This window comes from Homo sapiens, chromosome 2, assembly GCF_000001405.40.
Source record: "Homo sapiens chromosome 2, GRCh38.p14 Primary Assembly".
Lineage (NCBI taxonomy): Eukaryota > Metazoa > Chordata > Mammalia > Primates > Hominidae > Homo > Homo sapiens.
The window spans coordinates 237,256,687-237,278,204 of NC_000002.12; the positions used below are offsets into that span (position 1 = coordinate 237,256,687).

The window sequence follows — 21,518 nt, forward strand, 5'->3', positions numbered from 1 at the left end:
TGCCAGCTTCACCTCCCAAGCCTTGATCACAAAACCCTCCATTTTTTTCAGCCTGTTTTGTGGGACTTGCATTCTGTGGATCACCCTTTGAAAAACGTGGTTATCGTTATTCTAACGGCCAGATAGAAGGCAGTGTTTTTATACACTGAGTAGCTATGCATACACTAGGCAGGGGAAATCCACAGCTTGCTGCTACCACAGCCCCTCTAGAGTGGGTTCTTCAAGAGAAATGTAGGAGGAAGCTTCAGGCAGTACCATTCTTTAGCTGGAAGGAACTCCAGCCCTTCACTGTTGTGGAAGCTGGGCCCAGAGCAGGGAGGCAGCGTCCCAAGATCACACGGTGAGTTAGTCACCAGTGAAAATAATATTTTCCTCCTTGCACACCACACCCTCTTTTTTTCCAGGCAAATTCCAGGCTCCTTTGGAAGAATGACAATGCTACAGAAAAGCACATGGATTTGCAGCTTCGTGGACATCACCTGTGAGGGTGACAGCTCTTTACTCTCAGTGAGTTCCCCAGGTACACAAGCTCCTGAACAGACACAGGATGCACACATCTAAGTGCTTTCTGGCCCCAGATCCACATGCGCAGATGTAGAAGGGGCTTTCAGCTGATCACGAGGGTGTGGAAAGGTCTCAAGGGTGATTCAGGCACATAAATTCAAAATCTGTTTCTTCAACAAGAAATGCAGCTACCTTAAAAAAATTTTTTTAAGTAATCCAGATAATATTTTATTCAACAGATGGAGGAAAGTGAAGCCAGGCTTACTGAGGAAAAAAAACAACCCTCAGAAATCAAAATCAGACAGCTATACCCGGTCTGGCTGCCCCAGAGCGGGAAGACCTGAACCTTGGCAGGGCTGGCTGCTGTGCTGACCAGTCTGATATCAAGAAGAGAAGTGATTTTCCGATCCTGCATCCGGTACAGCTGTGCGGACTCTGCTCTTCCTGCCATTCCACCAAGAAATTAAAAAGCAATTTTCTTTTGAAGTTCTGGGGTTTTTTTGTTTTTTGTTTTTTTCATTTAAGATTACACTTTGAGGTCAGAAAATGAGACATAAGGAATTCACAAACACACACGCATTCGATTCAGAAACATTCCACCCTCCACATCCCCATTTTAAACTGTCCTGAGGCCCAGATGGTTTACAGCTTGAGCCGGCTTAGGCTGGCAAGCATTTCAGGGATCTGGTTGACTACGTTTTCCTGAAACAGAGGTATTTTATGCATTAAGCTGATCAACACCGGGGAGAATGGGGCACCCTAACTGCCTTTAAGTAATATCTTATGAAGCTCTTTTAGGATTAGCAGCAGAACAAAATACACCCAGGAATCAAGGGTATAAAGCAATGAAGATTGTGTTTCACCTTGCAATATTGTGAGTAGTGTTGTTTATTCAAGGCAGTGTTAATTTTTATAATTTTTAAGCTTGTATGTATGTTTTTCTCCTCAGATGATTATGGTCTGTATCAGTTGCAGTTCAAGCAGGAAGTAGAAACCACACAGTAACTTAAACGGGGAAAGTTGAGTATAAAGAATTAATAAGTAAAATGTAGAACTGGAGTAACAAGGGATTGGCTAGTGAGAAGTGAACTCTAAAGAATACAAAGCAGCAGATAGAGGGAGCCGCCACTCTCCGTCCCTGGAGCTGAGATGGATGCTCGTGGAAGGGCCCTCGCTTCCAGGGCTGAAAAGATTCAGACATGCCGAGAGGGCACAGCCATAGCTCAGTGGGTGGCAGGGAATTTTTGCAAGTGCTGTGGTGTTGCAACAGCAGAACTTGCTAGAAATGGGCCTCTTTTCTTCAAATCGAAGGAAAGACATTTCCCCAAACTGAAGAGGACAAAAATGAAGAAATTCTTAGCCTTTCCCTCAAATCAGGAGCCCCATAGTTCTCAAGGTCATTATATTGGTGATGGGCTATATTAATCACTTCTCAAATTCAATCGTAGTCTAACTCATGTTTTCTGCATATATTATAAAATGAATTTCTAACAACATGTACATGAAATAAAAATAGGAAAAACGATGAACATGGTTATCATGTAGAAAAAAATACTTGTCATAAACAAATAGAACATTTGCAGAGCTTCTATAATCCTTGTTTCTGTAATTTGGCATTGAGCCATGTTAGGATGTGTGGCTTCCTTCTCTGGCTCTTCCATATTCCCCTTGCCCTAAGCCAGACCGTGGCTGCTCCAATTCTTTACAAGGAGGTTATGTCCTTGATCAGCCTGCCTTTTCTTTAGTTTCTCTAGTTTTCTACTAAACTTTACTGTTGGTTAGTTTTTACGTGCAAGTACTCAGGGGCACTCATTGCCCCTGACAGTCTCCTCCCTCCGTCTGCTGCGCAGCAGAAACCCAGTTTCCCCTTGGTCACCAGGATCAACCACCCGAGCTATAGACTCATTCCTTTTGTGACTGTTTGTCCAGTGGCCTCTAGGACCCCACAATGGCCATGCGGAGTCTCTGCTTCTAGTTCAGTAGAGTCATTGCTGTGTCCCTTGATGGGGGGGCAAGTGCTTCTGCACAGCTGTCTGAGATCCCCAAGCCCTCAGAATCCCAGGTTGCTAGGATGGCGATTAATTCTTGGACCCATGGGCTCTGGCCATCATGGTCTCTGATTCAAAATATGTAATGCATCCTGTAAGACGGAGTCTTGCTTTGGCCTACTATTTTATGAGGCTATTTTAGGAATGCAAGCAGAGCAAAAGACACCCAGCAACCAAATATGTAAATCAACGAAGAATGTTTCAGATTGTAATCATGCAAGCAGAGTGGTGTCTATTCGATGTTGATTTTTCAAACTTTCCAACTTGCATTTTTTTAGAGTTGTTAAAGGATGAAAAAATTAAAGCTAGACAGGAGGAATAAGTTCTAGTGGTCTATACCACTGTAGGATAGCTATAGTTAACAATAAAATATTATACAGTTTCAAATAGCTAGAAGGAGGATATCAAATGTTATCAACACAATGAGCTTATAAATGTTTGATATGATGTATATGCTAATTACCCTGATTTGATCACTATACATTACATGCACCTAAAAATCATGATGTACCCCCGTGAATATGCACAAGTATTATTTGTCAACTAAGAAATTAAAATTTTAAAAATCTTTTAAAAACACTATTGCCTATAAAAAGAAAAGTTGAAAAAATCTATATGCCATGCCATGTGTTGGCACTGCATTTATTGTCTTATTTATCATCATAAGCCCACCTAGCAGACAACTGTGAATCTCCATATCTTGTAGAAAACCAAAAGGTTAAAAGATTAACTTATTATTTCTATAAGCATCATTAATGTCACAACCTAAAAAGAAAGAAAGAGAAAAGGAAAAATGGGGTCAAATTTTAATGTCTGGTATAATAACTCCAGATCTCTAGAAACTTTTTTTTAATGATTCTTGCAGGTATTCCTTATAACCAGGTCTCAGGGTTGCCTTTGCTAGGGGTGATTTTATTAGCAGGGATTTAGACAGAAAAGACTTGAGCCAGACTTCCACAGCCATAACAGACCTTTGAGACATCTTATCTCCAAAGTCTGAGAATTCCCTAGAGAAACATGCTTCTCATTCTATGTCCTCTGATAAGCTAAGGAAGAGAAAGTAAAAAAAAAAAAAAAAAAAAAAAAGACAGGGAGTAAAAGAAAAAAGGAAAGCAGAAAAAAAAGTCATGTTTGTAACATATAAATTATTTTCATATGCATTACTAAAAATTCCCAGCTCTGCAAGAATGGATCAGTTCCAAGAAAGATAGAGCTATAAAACTGTAACGTCCACCTCAAGTCTGTCAGAGACCAAAACTCAGTTTAATCTGATGGTTGTTTGGTTGCCGGTTGGTTGGTTGGTTGGTTGGTTGGTTGGTTGGTTTTCCCACCCCACAATCCTGCCACTGGTACCATAACATGGGACTCTATAAATGGAGGCCTACACAGTTGGATCTTTCAGGACAGCATTAAATAAAATATTTAAAAGTGAATGTGAGGCAAAGTTGGGAGGCAAGCTCTGGGTGCCCAGAGACCTCGAGGATAACTAATGAGTTCCTTGCTCCCAAATGAGGAAATGTGACTCTATCCTATGATCAGGGGAGAAAAAACAAAGGTGACGAGGTGCCCTGCGGGAGCTGCAGACCAGAGCACAGCTGAGAGCCTGCTTGTAATCTCCCTCCCACCCCATAGTGGGTGGCCATTCTGCTTATGGTGGAGAGCAATGGGTGGAGCTGCAGAGCCCATTTATAGCCAGGAGGATCCAATGTCCATTTTCACACACTGGTTTCTATGACTGAAGGTGACTGAACAACACCTTTTAGAGGTTATTATTGTGAAACAAAGGATTGGAGTCGATCCTTCTAAAATTTCTCCATTACACCTGCCTATGGGATGCATTGGTCATAGTTCATAATAGCAAAAAATGGAAAAGACTCAACATGTTTAAATAAATTATGATACCTGGTAAAGAACATTAGATAGAAATTTAAAATCATAATTTTAAAGTGTAACCCATACACCTAGTGCCCAGATCTTGGTTTCTAATATCACTTTCCAATAAAAGGAACCAGAACTCCTTAGAGAAATGGCTGTGCATTAGTCCATTCTCACATTGCTATAAAGAAATACCCAAGACTGGGTAGTTTATAAAGGAAAGAGGTTTAATTGACTTGCAGTTCCACATGGCTGGGCAGGCCTCAGGAAACTTACAATCATGGCAGAAGGCAAAGGGGAAGCAAAGATCTTCTTCACGTGGCGGCAGGAAAGAGACAGCTAGCAAGAGCAGGGTAAACTGCCTTATAAAACCATCAGCTGTCATGAGAGCTCATTCACTATCACAAGAACAGCATGGGAGAAACCACCTCTATGATGCAATCCCCTCCCACCAGGTCTCTACTTCAACGCCTGGGGATTAAAATTCAAGATGAGATTTGGTTGGGGACACAAAGCCTAACCATGTCAGGCCAATTTGGCAAAAATACACAAAATAAGCCTGGAACATCTTGTAGTGGCCTAAAGTAAGGTAGTGCTCAAAAAATTTTAAAAAGTAAAAACAAATGAACAATGGGGTTCTGTCAAAAGGCACAGGAGCCAACTGTAAGAGCTCCCAACTGTACAAGCTGAAGAATCCGAGCAACAAAAATCACATAATATGGGATTATAACCCAAAGTGCAAAATAAATATCATGTGTCCATACTGACACAAATAAATCACTGAATCAAAATAAATGAGACAGGAGAGGCAAATCTCCTATATAAAGAATTCCAAACAATTTCAGTAGATGCTTCATCCTCCAGAAGGTGAAGCCTACATCCCCACTCTAAAAGTGCTGGCTGCAGATAGTGACTTCTTTCCAAAGGGGACAGAATGGCAGGGGGGTCAGGGATGGGGAAGAGTCACTTTACAGTAGACAAACACGACCTCAGCCAGACGATCAAGGTCAGCAGTAGTAAGTCATGTTGACAGTATGTACCTTTGACATGATGTGATGAGGATGGCACCTTAAGTCTGTGGCCTTCCTCCCAAAAACACATAATCCCAGTCTAATCAAGAGAAAAACTCCAGACAAACCCCAATTAAAGGACACTCTACAAAATACCTAACCAATACTCCTCAAAACTGACAAAGCCATCAAAAAGAATCAAAAGAAAACAGACAAGGAAGGTGAGATGTTGCCATAGCTCAGAAGATCTCATGGAAGCATGATAGCTCAATGTCATGCAGGATCCTAGAACAGAAAAAGGACATTAGGCAAAGACTGGGGAACTCTGAATAAAGTGTGAACTTTAATTAATAATAATGCGGCTCATTAATTTTAACAATTGTACTATTCTAAGGTGAGACGTTACCATTAGGGGAAATGGGGTGCAGGGTATCCACTATTCTGAATTATCAACAACAGACCTTGTGTTCAGCATTGCTGATCACACGTGTGGGCCTTCCGAACACAGGGGTAACCTTTGCAGGATGGCTTTCTGCCAATGTAATGGCAGAACTCTGGTATTTCAAGGCCATCCTTTAGGACTCTAAGGTATCCTTTAGTTTTCTATGTTAAAATGGAGGAACAGTTCAATCACTTCTATTCATAGCTTTTCATTCCCACTGCCGTATAAAGAGGAAGGCAAACTGAACAATGTCAGGTTGTTTTCATAAAGTTTTAAATCAGAAAATCTTTTTTGGACTTCAACTTTCAATGCCACAATTTGGAGGCTATCATTCAGGTAGAGCAAAGGAAAATGGGTCATCAGAGTTCCCAAATCTCATGTCCAATTGTACTTCCCAGTGTTGGAGGTGGAGCCTGGTGGGAGGTGATTAGATCATGGGGCGGATTTTTCCCTCAGTGCTGCTCTTATGATAGTGACTGGGTGCTTGTAAGATTTGGCTGTTTAAAAGTGTGTGGCACCTCCCGCCTCTCGCTTCTTCCTCTTGGTTTGGCCATGTGAGGACATACCTGCTTCCTCTTCACCTTCCTCCATGATATAAGTTTCCTGAGGCCTCCCCAGCCACTCTCCCTGTGCAGCCTGCAGAATCGTGAGCCAATTAAACCTCTTTTCTTTGTAAATTACCCAGTCTTAGGTATTTTTTATAGCAGTGCAAGAATGGACTAATACATGAGCCATATTATTCTAAGTGAGTTTTTCAAAGACAATTTTGCAATACAGGAACTGAATCACAAAATTGTGTAACAAGTGGCTAATGCCTGAGCAGAGGAAAAAGATTCCAAGTGTGAGATGGATTGTTGAATTTATGAAAAAGCTGAGTCTTGATCCCAAATTATCTGTTAAGGACAGAAATTTTTTCACTGAAAAATGTTACCTTTTAAATTTAAAACATCTTTTTGGCACCATGCCAAGGCGAAAGCACCTGCTTTCCCGTAGCACAGCCAACAGGGACATTGCACATCTAATTCCACAATCCTGATGTCGAGTGGCCAGTGGGCTCAGCACAGGCATGCGTGAAATTTGCCGAGTTAACTACATGTCCATGGCACATGTCTGCTTTCTCTGTTTAGCACAAAGCATTTTCTAGGACATGCCACGATGGACAACCCAAGTCCCTTGTTGGAGAAAGTATTGTCATTTTGTATTGAACTTGTTGGATTGGCTAGTTACCCAACATTTGAAGCAATTATTGGAGGAGCCTAACGTGGTCACATATGTAAATTTTGACTAGTCTGCATTAAACTTTAAGCCTTATCTCAATATTTCAAACCAAGTCACTGCTTGAAGATCTGGTCTTCCTTGCACGACAGATTCAAAAGTATTTACAAATATTCTCACTGACACCTGAACACACAGGGCTTATTGGAGAGCATTATTTACATCTGGACTCTCATCATTACAAAAAATAATGCTACAAATGATTCACTTTTTCTTATAACTTGTCCTATGCATTCTTAGCTGTGTCTACACAGACGGAACAGCAGGTTTCTAGTTAGGTTCACATTTCCAAATACTTCTCTCTATTCAGAACACACGATTTCTACTGCACTCACAAGACTCCCTTTTATGAACTTGCCCTTATGTCTGGGCAATTGTTTTACATTTCAATCATAAGTGTATTTCTCAGTCACATTAGTTATTGAATTTTCTTTTTAAAAAACAAAATATATGGAAGTGTTCTTTTTTATAGTTTGTTAAATTTTCCACCATGCATCTCTTCCTTATATGGATCATAGACCTTATTGCTGTATTTGTGTTATATTAATGACAATGTTTTAACTGAATTCCTTCTACACAGATATGCTTTGTTTGTAAAGTAAACATACCAAATTCTTTTTCACTTTTACACCTCAGTTGGTTTACTTTTATTGTTCTTCTTGGAACCTATAGTCTTCTAGCTTTTTTATGTTTGCATTTTGTATAGGGCACAAGAAGGATATAGGAAATCTTTTCTTCCCCCTTTACTGCAAGAGAAACGGCCCATAATGATGATCCTTGGCAACTGAATACGCGGTGCTGGGAAACAGTAGAGGGTGGTGGGGACTGCAGGGAATGAACAGCTCATGTCTCACTCATCAACAACTGTGGCTGTGGGGGAACGTGGCTCTGTGTCTACTGAACTTTGCCAGTTTTAAAGAGAAACACACAATCGAGATTTTTGTGATTTTTAACCTTGCAACAAATTTCATGATAAATTGAACCCAAAAAATCCCCACCGTGTGGACCAACTTTTTTATCTGCAAAACAAATAAAACTTCTTGGGGCAGAATGTGGCCAGCAGGCCCCGTGTTTGAGATCCTTTCATAGAAAAACGATGGCGGGAAGCATGCAAACACTCAGGTGGGTGCAAGCCGCGCACAGTGAGTCACCCGGGCTCCTCCGTCAACGCATCCTCTGAACAGAAGTTCACACCAGCCTTTGCAGCTACTGGTTTGGGTACCCGCCACAGCACTGACTCACAGAGCTGACGATCCCTCCACCAGCTCCCCAAGGCCTCCAGCCCGCTCCTGGGCTCCTCTCGCCTCTTGGGTCCAGCATCCTGGGTCTTTCAAGCCAAAGGTAACAGAAATATCTCATGTCCTGCCTCTCATTGTTGTAGATGAGGAGACTGGACCTGAGAAAAGCTAGAGCACTCACTCACAGCCACCCAGCGTATCAGGGGCAAAGGAAAAATCAGATCTGCCTAGAGTCCCTGACTTTCTTTAACTCCTTTCCTAGAAAAGAGGAGTGTGCAGGGTCACATGTGACCAGAGAGCATGTCTCAGTGCCCATGGGTTCACATCAGCTTTGTACACTGTCAGGAATTCATTTCCCACATAAATAGTAGAGAAATGTGATACTTGAAATGAACAGGTAAAGGAGGCTACCAGGAAAACTAACTATTTCCCAAAAAATATTCTAGTTTCACACTAGGCCTACAGACTATGTCTTTGTTTCTCTAACTTAAAATACATTAAATAGATCTTAAATAATTAAAGGTATTAATACAAAACTACAGAAGACTTAGCTGACTTTATGATATCCAAGGGTGACAAAAACCTCTCAAAACAAAACCTCAGGCCAAACCATAGAAAAAATGATTTTCTACATAAATTATAAATTTTTTGCATATCTAGCAACACTATAATCAAGTTTAAAGGCAAATAACTAAGTAGGAAGAATTGCACCAAAATAAATGGCAAAGGTTTGATATTCTTATATCAAAATCATTTATGAATCATGAAGGCAAAGATACATATATACAAATTCTTTAAAAGGCAAACTACTTGATGACAAAGGTAAAATACAAGGGAAAATAAACACATGAAAAATGTTTCATTTATCAAAGAATTGAAATTTAAAGCAATTAAGATAATCATTTCTAAAATACTAGGTAAAAAATGAAAAAAGATGAATGAATCTTTTGGTTGGCAAAACAGAGAAGTGGACTTCACTATTCTCTAACTGGGAGAAGGCAATTTGGTTTAAGCCTTTTAGAGAGCAATATGGCCACATGTCCTCTGGCCCAGCTGAAAGGCTTCTAGAAAATTATTCTAAAGGTAGTCAGTCATGGAGACGAAACTGGTCACCACCTCACTGTTAAAACAGCGAAAAACTGGAAGAAGTCCCAGTAATGGGATTTCATGCAAACGTTACAGGAATTGTGCTGATGGGGAGTCAGTTGAGGAAACAGTTCCCCTCCAACATTAAGTAAAATAGCAATGCATTTCCCTGTGCAGCTGACCCTTGAACAACATGGGTTTGAACTGTGCAGGTAGGTTCATGCATGGATTTTCTTCTGTCTCTGCCACCCCTGAGAAAGCAAGAACTACCCCTCCTCCATCTCCTCCTCCCCAGCCTACTCTACATGCAGACGATGAGAATGAAGACCTTTAGGATGATCCACTTCCACTTAATAAATTGTAAGTGTATTTTCTCTTCCTTATGATTGTCTTAATCACATTTTCTTTTCTCTAGCTTACTTTAAGAATACACTGTATAATATATAAAACATACAAAATATGTGTTAATTGACCTTGTATGTTATTGGTAAGAATTCTAGTTAGCAACAGACTATTAGTAATTAGGCTTTTTGGGGGGTCAAAAGTTATACTCAAATGTTCAACTGCACAGGATCAGCACCCCTAACCCCTGTGATGTTCAAGAGTCAACTGGTACATCCATGTATGGACAGACACTTGAAGATTTTACACCAAATATTAATGATGGAAGTGATGGGTTACAGCCAATTCGATGACATGGAAATGAATATATATGTTAATGTTATGTGGAGAAAAGCACAAAATTTACAAATTATTTCAATATAATAGTATTTTAATTTTGTTTCGCATACAATTATAATTTTGCTTAAAAACAGAAGAGAATATCAATATTGAGAATATAAACTTAAGAAAAAAAGCAAAATATTAGCTACATTGTTACACTTTGTTAGAAACATAGAATGAAGAGTAGAAGGAGAGACATCAAAATCACACCTGGAGTCAACAATACATTGTAGAGTTTGGGCTGGTTTTTAATTTGTCTTTTCTTTCTTTTTTTTTTTTTTTTTTGAGACAGAGTCTCACTCTGTCACCCAGGCTGGAGAGCAGTGATGCAATCTCAGCTCACTGCAACCTCCACCTCCGGGGTTCAAGTGATTCTCCTGCCTCAGCCTCCTGAATAGCTGGGATTACAGGCAAATGCCACTACACCCAGCTAATTTTGTATTTTTTAGTAGAGATGGGGTTTCTCCATGTTGGTCAGGCTGGTCTTGAACTACCAACCTCAGGTGATCCGCCCGTCTCGGCCTCCCAGGTATGAGCCACTGCGCCTGGCCCTTAATTTATCTTTTATACTCTATTCTTCCAGTCTTCCTTAAAGGAATAGTGATTACTTTTATGATAAACATATTGTTAAAATAGTTTTTCTCTCCAATTCTTTACGAAAAAATGAAATATCCTTGGGAAAAGACACAGACAAGATATCCATAATCATGTGAAACAAATTATTTGGCTTATAGGTTTATAGATTTTCTTTTCACCAAATATATTGTTTTTCAGGCTGTAAATCATGAATCTTATTTTTCCTTGATATTTAATCAGTTATACTTCATCTGCAAAAAAAAAAAATGATTAACAATTTTCTTTGGGAAGACCAGTAAGGTACATAAGCATAGTGAGGACTGTCTATGCTTTTTATCTTTATACATAACAGCACAGCTTTTTTTATTCATCTAAAAATCGACAGAAATGCCTAAAAGACACTTTATTCTGGAACAAATAAGGTGAAAACAGTTCTATTTCTGTTCCAAGTGACCTCATGCAGTTTCTACGGTAAAGAGCCTATTTCTATGGAAATAGCTTTTTCATAGAGCCCTCTGGCTGCCCAGGTTCAATGTCATCTCTATACTTGGTGCACTTTTTGGAATTGTTAGGAATGAATGATGATAAGTTTGGATCAACTACTAAGTACTGTATGCCAAAGAAAATATCTCAGAACCTGTCATGTTGGGTAAGGCCTTTGCCTCTTCTGGAAGTTTCCAGACCTCGTCTCTAACGTATCAAGGACAACTCTTGAAATAGCTTCCAACTGGACACCCTGGATCCAGCGTTGGCCAAGCAGTCAGTGCTGATGAGCAGGGATTTGGAAGGAGGGGCCTCTTCACAGAGCACAAGGAGATCCCAGAAGCTCCTTCAGTGGGGTCTTGGGGGACCCTGAGAAGGCCCTGCCTTCTCTCCCTCACCTCTGCTGCCCTCTCCTCACTTTCCTCTACCCCTCTGGGACCCTCTTTCCCTGGTGCCCAGAGACTTGGGTCCACCCTCGTTCTCTGGCCCTGCCTCCTACTGTGTCCTCTTGGGCAGGCTGCAGGGAACAGCCTCACACTTGCCCAGACCTCTTATTTGCATGTGATCCTGGAGAGACAAAGAGCTCAGACTCTGGGTCCACATTGCCAGGTTCAACTCCCAGCTCAGCCCAAAGCTGGTTGTGGGATCTTAGGAAAGTCAGTCCCCGTCTCTGTAAAAGGGAATCATGACTGGACCCTGCTCCACAAAAGCGGTGTTGGGAATAACAGAGCTAGACCACGATCACACTGAGCCCACAACCTGCACATGCGGAATCCTACCCTAGTTAGAAAAGCCAAGCATCCTCATTTGCAGGGTAGCTACTGACTTTTTTTTTTTTTTTTTTTTTGAGACGGACTCTCACTCTGTTGCCCAGGCTGGAGTGCTGTGGTATGATACCAGCTCACAGCAACCTCTGCCTCCCAGATTCAAGTGATTCTCCTGCCTCAGCCTCCTGAGTAGCTGGGACTACAGGCACCCACCACCACACCCAGCTAATTTTTGTATTTTTAAAAGAGATGGGGTTTCACCATATTGGCCAGGCTGCTCTGGAACTCCTGACCTCAGGTGATCCACCCACCTCAGCCTCCCAAAGTGCTGGGATTACAGGCGTGAGCCACTGGGCCCGACCCTGACATTCTGTATGCATCCTTAGGCAGCTCTTACAACAACCCTCTGAGACTGAGATTACTGACATATTACGTGTGATGTGAGGCCCAGAAAAGTTCTCCGGTGTGTCGGCATTCCCAAAGGCAGGAGCTCATGGATCCCAGGCATGACTCGCCCCACACCTCTGCTCTTTTCCCTGCTTTCCATGTCCTTCAATTCAAACAATAAAGAGGCTTCCTAAACATAACGCCTGCCCCAAGCACAGCATTGGGTATACACAAAGAAAACAACCATCAGTCAGCCGGATGCAATTACCATGTGATTAAATGCTTTGAGCTGTGATATTTATTCACTTGGATAATAAATAATCTCAGTTCTGTGAAAAGAAATCCCAATTAATGAATATGTAAATGAAGCCACTGAAGACAAACACCACAGTCTTATGTTTGAAAGGATTTAGTAAATATTAGTGTTTTTCCCTACAAACATAGGCAAAGGGGCTACTCAGTTTGCTAGGACTTTTTCATTGTGCTTTCATCTGTAAAATGCTAGTCACAACACTCTAAATTGAAGTTTGAATTCTTTTTCCATTCTGGGTGGTTCCCTGCCAAGTGGGAAAGAAACTGGCCTGGAAGTCTCTGTTGTGGCGCCTACTGGCAGAATCCTTGGTAGTCATGCATTCTGCCTGGGGAGAAGAGGCTAGGGCTCCTCAGCCCCTATCCCAGAAAAGGTCATTCTTCTCTCTCACCATTGCCTTCTCTGGAAAGATGGGGACATGCCTGCAAACGTGTCCTGAGGGTGAAGGCACAGGTATCTTGTCACTCCCAGGAGCAGGCTCCGACTCTCCCTGACTTGTGTTTGACCCTGGGCCCCTCCACCTCTTCTCACCTCAACAACTCACCTGCAGAGTAGCTGCCATCCTATCTTCATGGATCTCCATAACTATTCCGATGTCCTATTAAGACTGTTTCAGTGCATGTGCTCTGCAGAGTTGACAACTGCATATCCATTTCTCACCCAGCCTGCCGTCTACCATTATTCCTCCAATGGCAAACACTGCCGCCAGCTCCAGTGGTCAGCGGGGTCTGTGCTTAGTGCTGTATTGTGCAGAGTAGGGGGGTCCCACCTGTGCCTCCCACCCACCTCCCCTGCTTTCTAGCAAGTGAGACCTGAACTTTACTATCTAGGAGAGCTGAGGAGATTCTGTTCAGCCCTCGGCGGCATTGGAGGGGAGGGTCTGAGCTCATCTTCAGCAGAAACTGAGCAGCAGAAAGGATGGGGAAGCCTGTGCCTGTTCAGGCCTCTGGGGCAGAGAATTATCACAACCGGGGGATCTACCCCTAAGCCCAGCAGTTCTGTAGCTAGAGGGGAAATGGGACTTTTTTGCCATGAAAAATGGCATACGGCTGAAGCAGCAGAGCAGATGAAGTTGCAGCACAAGAGCCAGCTCCTGCAGCCATTCCAGGGTGGGCCCCTGCTATGCCGGCCAAACAGGGAGCAAATGCCTCTGAGACACAGGGAAATACAAGTCCACTGGACCCTGTCTCCTTGCAAACTTCAACACCCGGGACCTGCTAGTTGCTGACAGTGAAAGGTCTCCTGACATGTGAATGCAGCTTCTCATACACCCCAAGGGACACCACACCCCGGCTTCCCAGGTGCCCTGGGAGCTGAGCACTTTGCCTTCAGTGCATCTTTAGAGCTTTGCAGCCTGGGAGAGGCTGTTCCCAGCACACAGCAGGCAGCCTCCTGTTGAAAACATCTATCCTCCCATTCACTGACTCAGCAAAGACAAGAAAACCTACCAAGTCCCAGAGAAGACTTGAGAAGGCAGTTCTTCAGCTGGGGTTTGGAGGATGAAAAAGTTTGTCAAAGGAAGAGCATTTGCAGAGAGGAAGTGACTGAACGAAGGTAAGGAAGTCCAGAAACGGTGAGTGGGCCCAGCATGTCTCACCACAGCCAACAGGTACAAAGGTAATGGCAGGAGATGATACTGAGAATGAGGCAGCTGCCTGAGTGGGGTCCTGAGATGACCCTGATGTCTGGGGAGAGACGAAGCCATGGTGACCACAACCTGATCGTGACTGTAAGTGTCAGCCAGCCTGGGCGAAATCCAGATTCAAGATTTCTTAGGCTGCATGCCCTTGGGCAGCTCGTCATCCTCTGCGTGCCTTGGTTTCCTCATTTAGAAAACAGACGCCTTGGGAAAGAAGGACGGGGGCCTGAAGAAGTCCTGTGTCTGACTGGTGGTGGCCTCCCTTCATTTTCCAGCATTTCTGCTTTCTCCTCCCAATACCTCTCCCTTTTTTAAAATTACAGTTTACAAACATAAACACCAGGCTAAATAAAATGAAAAATCACATATAAGATGTGAACAAATAATAAAATAATGTCATCCAGGAGTGAAATCAGCACCCAAAATGAAGCCTATGAGCTTACACTTGATAGAAGTGAGATTAGATATGGTTCTGTGCTTTCCAGTAGCAGAAGGGAGATACTTGATCAGGTGCATGAATTAGAAGATCTCTCAGGAGAAAATAAACAAACAAGTCACTTTCACAGAAATGCAAGTATACCTGGTTCTCCTCCTACAGTTAGTCCTAGCTTATCCATCTGTCTGTCTGTCTATCTATCTATCTGTCTATCTTTTCATCCATCCATATATCCATCCATTAATCATCTATCTATGGATCTATCATCTATCTATTTAGATCTCCTGATTATCCATCTATCATACTCTATTTTCACAGAGGATGTTGGATCATATTTAATATCCAGAAACTCCTACACTTAACATACTTTCAACTTGCGAAATTTAGTAGCTGTGAACAGAGCTGTGACCTGGAGCACAAAAATATCAGCTCAACCCTCTACCACAGGAATGATGACAGTAACCTTTATCTACGGCTTTAGACTCAAACACGACAGGACTTAAGGGAGGGAACCTGTATTTGTTTAGAAGACAGGACTGCAAGCACGCATGTTTTCTTAAATTACAGCTCAAAATTATATGGTTTTAAAATTGTTCAGATAGAGTGATTAGTTTACAGTTATAAATCCTTATATTTAAGTTAAGCTGAATACATAGAATAATGACCTATTTTGTTTCAAGAACTTGTGTTGCAATATAAAAATGCTCACAAGAATTCCATAGGTTAGATAAATATGTGAAAATGTACACTTTGCCAAGCTGAGGAAAGAATCTCACAAGTTGAAGACTGGATCTCTGAAATAAGACAGTCAGACAAAAATAAAGAAAAAAATAATTAAAAGGAATGAACAAAACCTCTAAGGAATATAGGATTATGAAAAGAAGCCAAATCTACAAATCACTGGAATCCCTGAAAGGAACGGGGAGAAAGCAAACAACTTAGAAATCATATTTCAGAATATCGTCCATGAAAACTTCCTCAACCTTGCCAGAGAGCCCAACAGCCAAATTCAGGAAATACAGAGAACCATTGTAAGATTCTACACAAGAAGATCATCCCCAAGACACAAAATCATCAGATTTTCCAAGGTTAAGATGAAAGAAAGAATGTTAAAGGCAGCTAGAGAGAAAGGGCAGGTCACCTACAAAGGGAACCCCATCAGGCTAACAGTGGACCTCTCAGCAGACACCCTATAAGCCAGAAGAGATTGGTGGACCTATATTCAACATTCCTTTTTTTTTTTTTTTTTTGAGACAGAGTCTTGCTTTGTCACCCAGGCTAGAGTGCAGTGGCACGATCTCGGCTCACTGCAACCTCCACCTCCGGGGTTGAAGCGATTCTTCTGCCTCAACCTCCTGAGTAGCTGGGATTACAGGCGCGTGCCACCACGCCCGACTAATTTTTTTTTGTATTTTTAGTAGAGACGGGGTTTCACCACGTTGGTCAAGCTGGTCTCGAACTCCTGACCTCATGATCCGCCTGCCTCGGCCTCCCAAAGTGCTGGGATTACAGGCGTGAGCCACAGCGCCCAGCCTCAACATTCTTAAAGAAAAGAAATCTTCAACCAAGAACTTTATATCCAATCAAACTAAGCTTCCTCACAAAAGAAGAAATAAGATCCTTTTCAGATAAACAAATGCTGAGCAACTTCATTACCACCAGACCTGCCTTACAAGAAATCTTGAAAGGAGTACTAAATATGGAAAGGAAAGCCCATTACCAGCCAATGCAAAAACACACTTAAGTACACAGACCAGTGACACTATAAAGCAACCACACAAACAAGCCAGCATAACAACCAGTTAACAACACAATGACAGGATCAAATCCACACATATCAATACTAACACTGAATGTAAATGAGCAAAATGCCCCCATTTAAAAGGCACAGAGAGACAGTCTGGATAAAAAAGTAAGGCTCAATGATATGCTATCTTCTAGAGACCCATCTCACATGCAGTGACATCCATAGGCTCAAAATAAAGGGATTGAGGAAAATATACCAAGCAAATGGAAATCAGAAAAAAAGCAGGGGTTGCAACTCTAATTTCAGACAAAACAGACTTTAAACCAACAAGGATCAAAAAAGACAAAGAAGGGCATTACATAATGGTAAAAGGTTCAATTTAACAAGAAGATCTAAGTATCCTAAATACATATTTACCCAACACAGGAGCACTCAGATTTATAAAGCAAGTTCTTAGAGACTTAGCCTCTCACAGTGTAGACTTAGACTTAGACTTAGCCTCTCACTTCAAAGAGACTTAGCCTCTCACACAATAATAGTGGGAAACTTCAACACTCCATTGACAATATTAGACAGATCACTGAGGCAGAAAATTAACAAAGATATTCAGGACCTGAACTCAACATTGTACCTAATGGATGTGATAGCCCTCTACAGAACTCTCCACTCAAAAACAACAGAATATACATTCTTCTCATCACCACATAGCACACATACTCTAAAATCAACCACACAATCAGACATAAAACAATCCTCAGCAAATGCGAAAAGACTGAAATCATACTAAACACACTCTTAGACCACAGTGCAATAAAAATAGAAGTCAATACTAAAAAAAAAATCTCTCAAAACCATGAAATTACATGGAAATTAAACAACCTAGTCCTGAATGACTTTTGCAAAAATAATAAAATAAAGGCAGAAATCAAGAAGTTCTTTGAAACTAATGAGAACAAAAATACAACATACCAGAATCTCTGGGATAAAGCTAAGTCAGTGTTAAGTGGGAAATTTATAGCACTAAACACCCACATTAAAAAGTTAGAAAGATCTCAAATTAACAACCTAACATCACAACTGAAAGAATTAGAGAAGCAAAAGCAAACCACCTCAAAGCCAACAGAAGGCAAGAAATAACCAAAATCAGAGCTGAACTAAAGGAAATTGAGACATGAAAAACCACTCAAAAGAGAATAAATACAGGAGTTGGTTTTTTGAAAAAATTAATAAGATAGGCCACTAATTAGACTAATGAAGAAGAAAAGAGAGGTGATCCAAATAAACACCATTAGAAACGACAAAGGGGATATTACCACTGACCCCAAATAATTAAAAATAACCATCAGAAACTATGATGAACACCTCTGTGCACACAAACTAGAAAATCTAGAAGAGATGGATAAATTCCTGGACGCATACACCATCCCAAGACTGAAACAGGAAGAAATTGATTCCCTGAACAGACCAATAATGAGCTCTGAAATTGAATCAGTAATAAATAGCCTACCAAACAAGAAAGCCCAGGACCAGATGGATTCACAGCCAAATTCTACCAGATGTACAAAGAAAAGCTGGTACCATTCCTACTGAAACTATTCCAAAAAATTGAGGACTCCTCTTCAACTCATTCTATGAGACCAGCATCATCCTGATACCAAAACCTGGCAGAGACACAACAAAAAAGGAATACTTCAGTCCAGTACGCTTGATGAAGATTGATGCAAAAATCCTCAACAAAATACTTGCAAACTGAATCCAGCAGCACATAAAAAGCTAATCCACTGTGATCAAACAAGGCCTCATCCTGGGATGCAAGGTTGGTTCAACATGTGCAAATCAAGATATGTGATTGAGCACATAAACAGAACTAATGACAAAAACCACATGATAATCTCAATAGATGCAGAAAAGGCTTTTGATAAAAATCAACATCCTTCATGTTAAAAATTCTCAATAAACTAGGGATTGAAGGAACACACCTCAAAATAATAAAAGCCTATCTATGACAAACCCACAGCCAACATCATACTGAATGGGGAAAAGCTGGAAGCATTTCCCTTAAAAACCAGCACAAGACAAGGATGCCCTCTCTTACCACTCCTATTAAACAATTCCTATTTGCAGATCACATGATTCTATATCTAGGAAACCCCACAATTTCAGCCCCAAATCTCCTTCAACTGATAAACAACTTCAGCAGAGTTTCAGGGTACAAAAATCAATGTACAAAAATCACTAGCATTCCTATATACCAACAACAGCCAAGTTGAGAGCCAAATCAGAAATGCAATCCATTCACAATTGCCACAAAAAGAATAAAATACCTAGAAATACAGCTAACTAGGGAGGTGAAAGATCTCTACAATGAGACTTACAAAACACTGCTCAGAGAAATCAGAGATGACACAAACAAATGGAAAACATCCCATGCTCATGGATAGAAATAATCAATATCATTAAAATAGCCATACTGCCAAAAGCTATTTACAGATTCAATGCTATTGCTATGAAACTACCAATGACATACTTCACAGAACTAGGAAAAAACTACTTTAAAATCATATGGAACCAAAAAAGAGCGTGGATAGTCAAGGCAATCCTAAATAAAAAGAACAAAGCTGGAGGCATCACACTAGCCAACTTCAGACTATACTACAGGGCTAACATAACCAAGACAGCATGGCACGGGCACAATAACAGACATACAGACCAATGGAACAGAATAGAAAGCCCAGAAATAAGGCCACAGACCTACAACCATCTGACCTTTGACAAAACTGACAAAAACAAGTGATGGGGAAAGGACTCCCTATTTAATAAATGGTGATTGGATAACAGGCTAGCCAAATGCAGAAAATTAAAACTGGATCCCTTACATTATATACAGAGATCAACTCAAGATGAATTAAAGGCTTAAATGTAAAACCCAAAGCTATAAAAGCCCTGGAAGACAACCTAGGCAATACCTTCCTGGACATAGGAGCAGGTAAAGATTTCATGATCAAGACACCAAAAGCAATCACAACAAAAGCAAAAGTTGGCAAATGGGATCTAATTAAACTTAAGAGCTTCTGCACGGTGAAAGAAACTATCAAGAGAGTAAACAGACAACCTACAGAATGGGAGAAAATATTTGCAAATGATGCAACTGACAAAGGTCTAATATCCAGCATCTATAAGGTACTTAAACAGATTTACAAGAAAAAAAAAAACCATTAAAAAGTGAGCAAAGGACATGAACAGCCACTTTTCAAAAGAAAAAATACATTCAGCCAACAAGCATATGAAAAAAATCTCAATATCACAGATTGTATTAGTCCATTCTTGCATAGCTATAAAGAAATATCTGAGACTGAGTAATTTGTAAAGAAAAGAGTTTGAATTGGCTCATGGTTCTGAAGGTTGTGCAGGAAACACGATACTGGCATCTGCTCAGTTTCTGGGGAGGCCTCAGGAAACTTATAATCATGGTGGAAGGTACGGGGGAGTGAGCACATCACATGGCCAGAGTAGGAGCAAGAGAAAGAGAGAGATAGTGCAACACACTTTTAAACAACCAGATCTCACGAGAACTCACTCACCATTAGAAGAACAGCACCAAGGGGATGGTGCCAAACCGTTGATGAAGGATCCACCCCCATGATCCAGTCATCTCCCACCAGGCCGTATCTCCAACATGGGGGATTACAGTTGAACATGAGATTTGGGTGGGAACCCAAATTAAAACCATGTCACTGATCATTAAAGAAATGCAAATCAAAACCACAATGAGATACCATATGACACCAGTCAGAATGGCTATTAATAAAATGTCGAAAAATAACAGATGCTTGCAAGGTTACAGAGAAAAGGGAACACTTACACTCTGTTGGTGGGGGTGTAAATTAGTTCAGCCATTGTGGAAAGCAATGTGGCAATTCCTCAAATTGCCAAAAACAGAACTACCATTCAACCCAGCAATTCCATTACTAGGTATATACCCAAAGGACTATAAATCATTCTACCACAAAGACACATGCACACAAATGTTCAATGCAGCACTGTTCACAATAGCAAAGGCATGGAATCAACCTAAACGCCCACCAGTGACAGATTGGATAAAGAAAATGTGGTACATACACACCGTCAAATGCTATGCAGCCATAAAAAAGAATGAGATCATGTCTTTTGGAGGCCATTATCTGTAGCAAACTATACCACAGGAACAGAAGACCAAATACCGCACGTTCTCACTTATAAGTGGGATGATGAGATCACATGGACACAAAGAGGGGAACAACAGACACTGGAGCCTACTTGAGGGTGGAGAGTGGGAGGAGGGAGAGAATTTTTAAAAATTTGGGTATTAGGCTTAGTACCAGGGTGTCCAAATAATCTCTACAACAATTCCCATTACATGAGTTTACCTATATAAAAAACCTGCACATGTACCCCTGAACCTAAAATAAAAGTTTCAAAAAAATATATGAATATTTAATGCATTGAATTGTACACTCAAAAGTGGTTAAAGTGGTAAATTTTATGCCATGTATAATATTCTTTGCCACAATAAAAAGCATGTATGTTGACAGAAAAAAAAATGTACACTTTGACCCAGCTTTTCATTTTCTCCATCTACCAAATGCCTAAGCAAGAGGAAAACTGCCACCATTGTGCTGTGTTTAGGGTAATGGTGGCTTTCTACTCACATTCATCATTTTAATAACCGTGTGGTGCTGTAGATCTCTCATCTGTCAGTCCTAACGTGTGATAGAATCTAGAATATTCTCTCCATACATTTTTAGTAAAAAGCTGAAGATTTTTATTGTTAAAGGTGAGAGTAATACAAACTTAACAAATTCATCGTATCTGTTGAAACGGGCTCACTTTTTCCAGTTTGTTCAGTGAACTAAATTAAGGGAGGAAACCACCCCTCATATTGTCTTATGCCCAATTTCTGCCTCCAAAGAAAGAAGAAGTAAAAACTAAAAGG

At 40.9% G+C, this 21,518-nt stretch overlaps 1 long non-coding RNA gene across 2 annotated transcripts in view; it reads left to right on the forward strand.

The window, feature by feature from the left end:
* Positions 1–990, forward strand: part of LOC105373953 (uncharacterized) — a 44,371-nt gene extending 43,381 nt beyond the window's left edge. For both annotated transcript variants that reach the window (XR_924035.3, XR_924034.3), the window contains 2 exons: positions 405–520; positions 744–990. This is a non-coding gene — a long non-coding RNA (uncharacterized LOC105373953). The remainder of the gene's footprint in view (positions 1–404; positions 521–743) is intronic.
* The last annotated feature ends 20,528 nt before the right edge of the window (positions 991–21,518 follow it).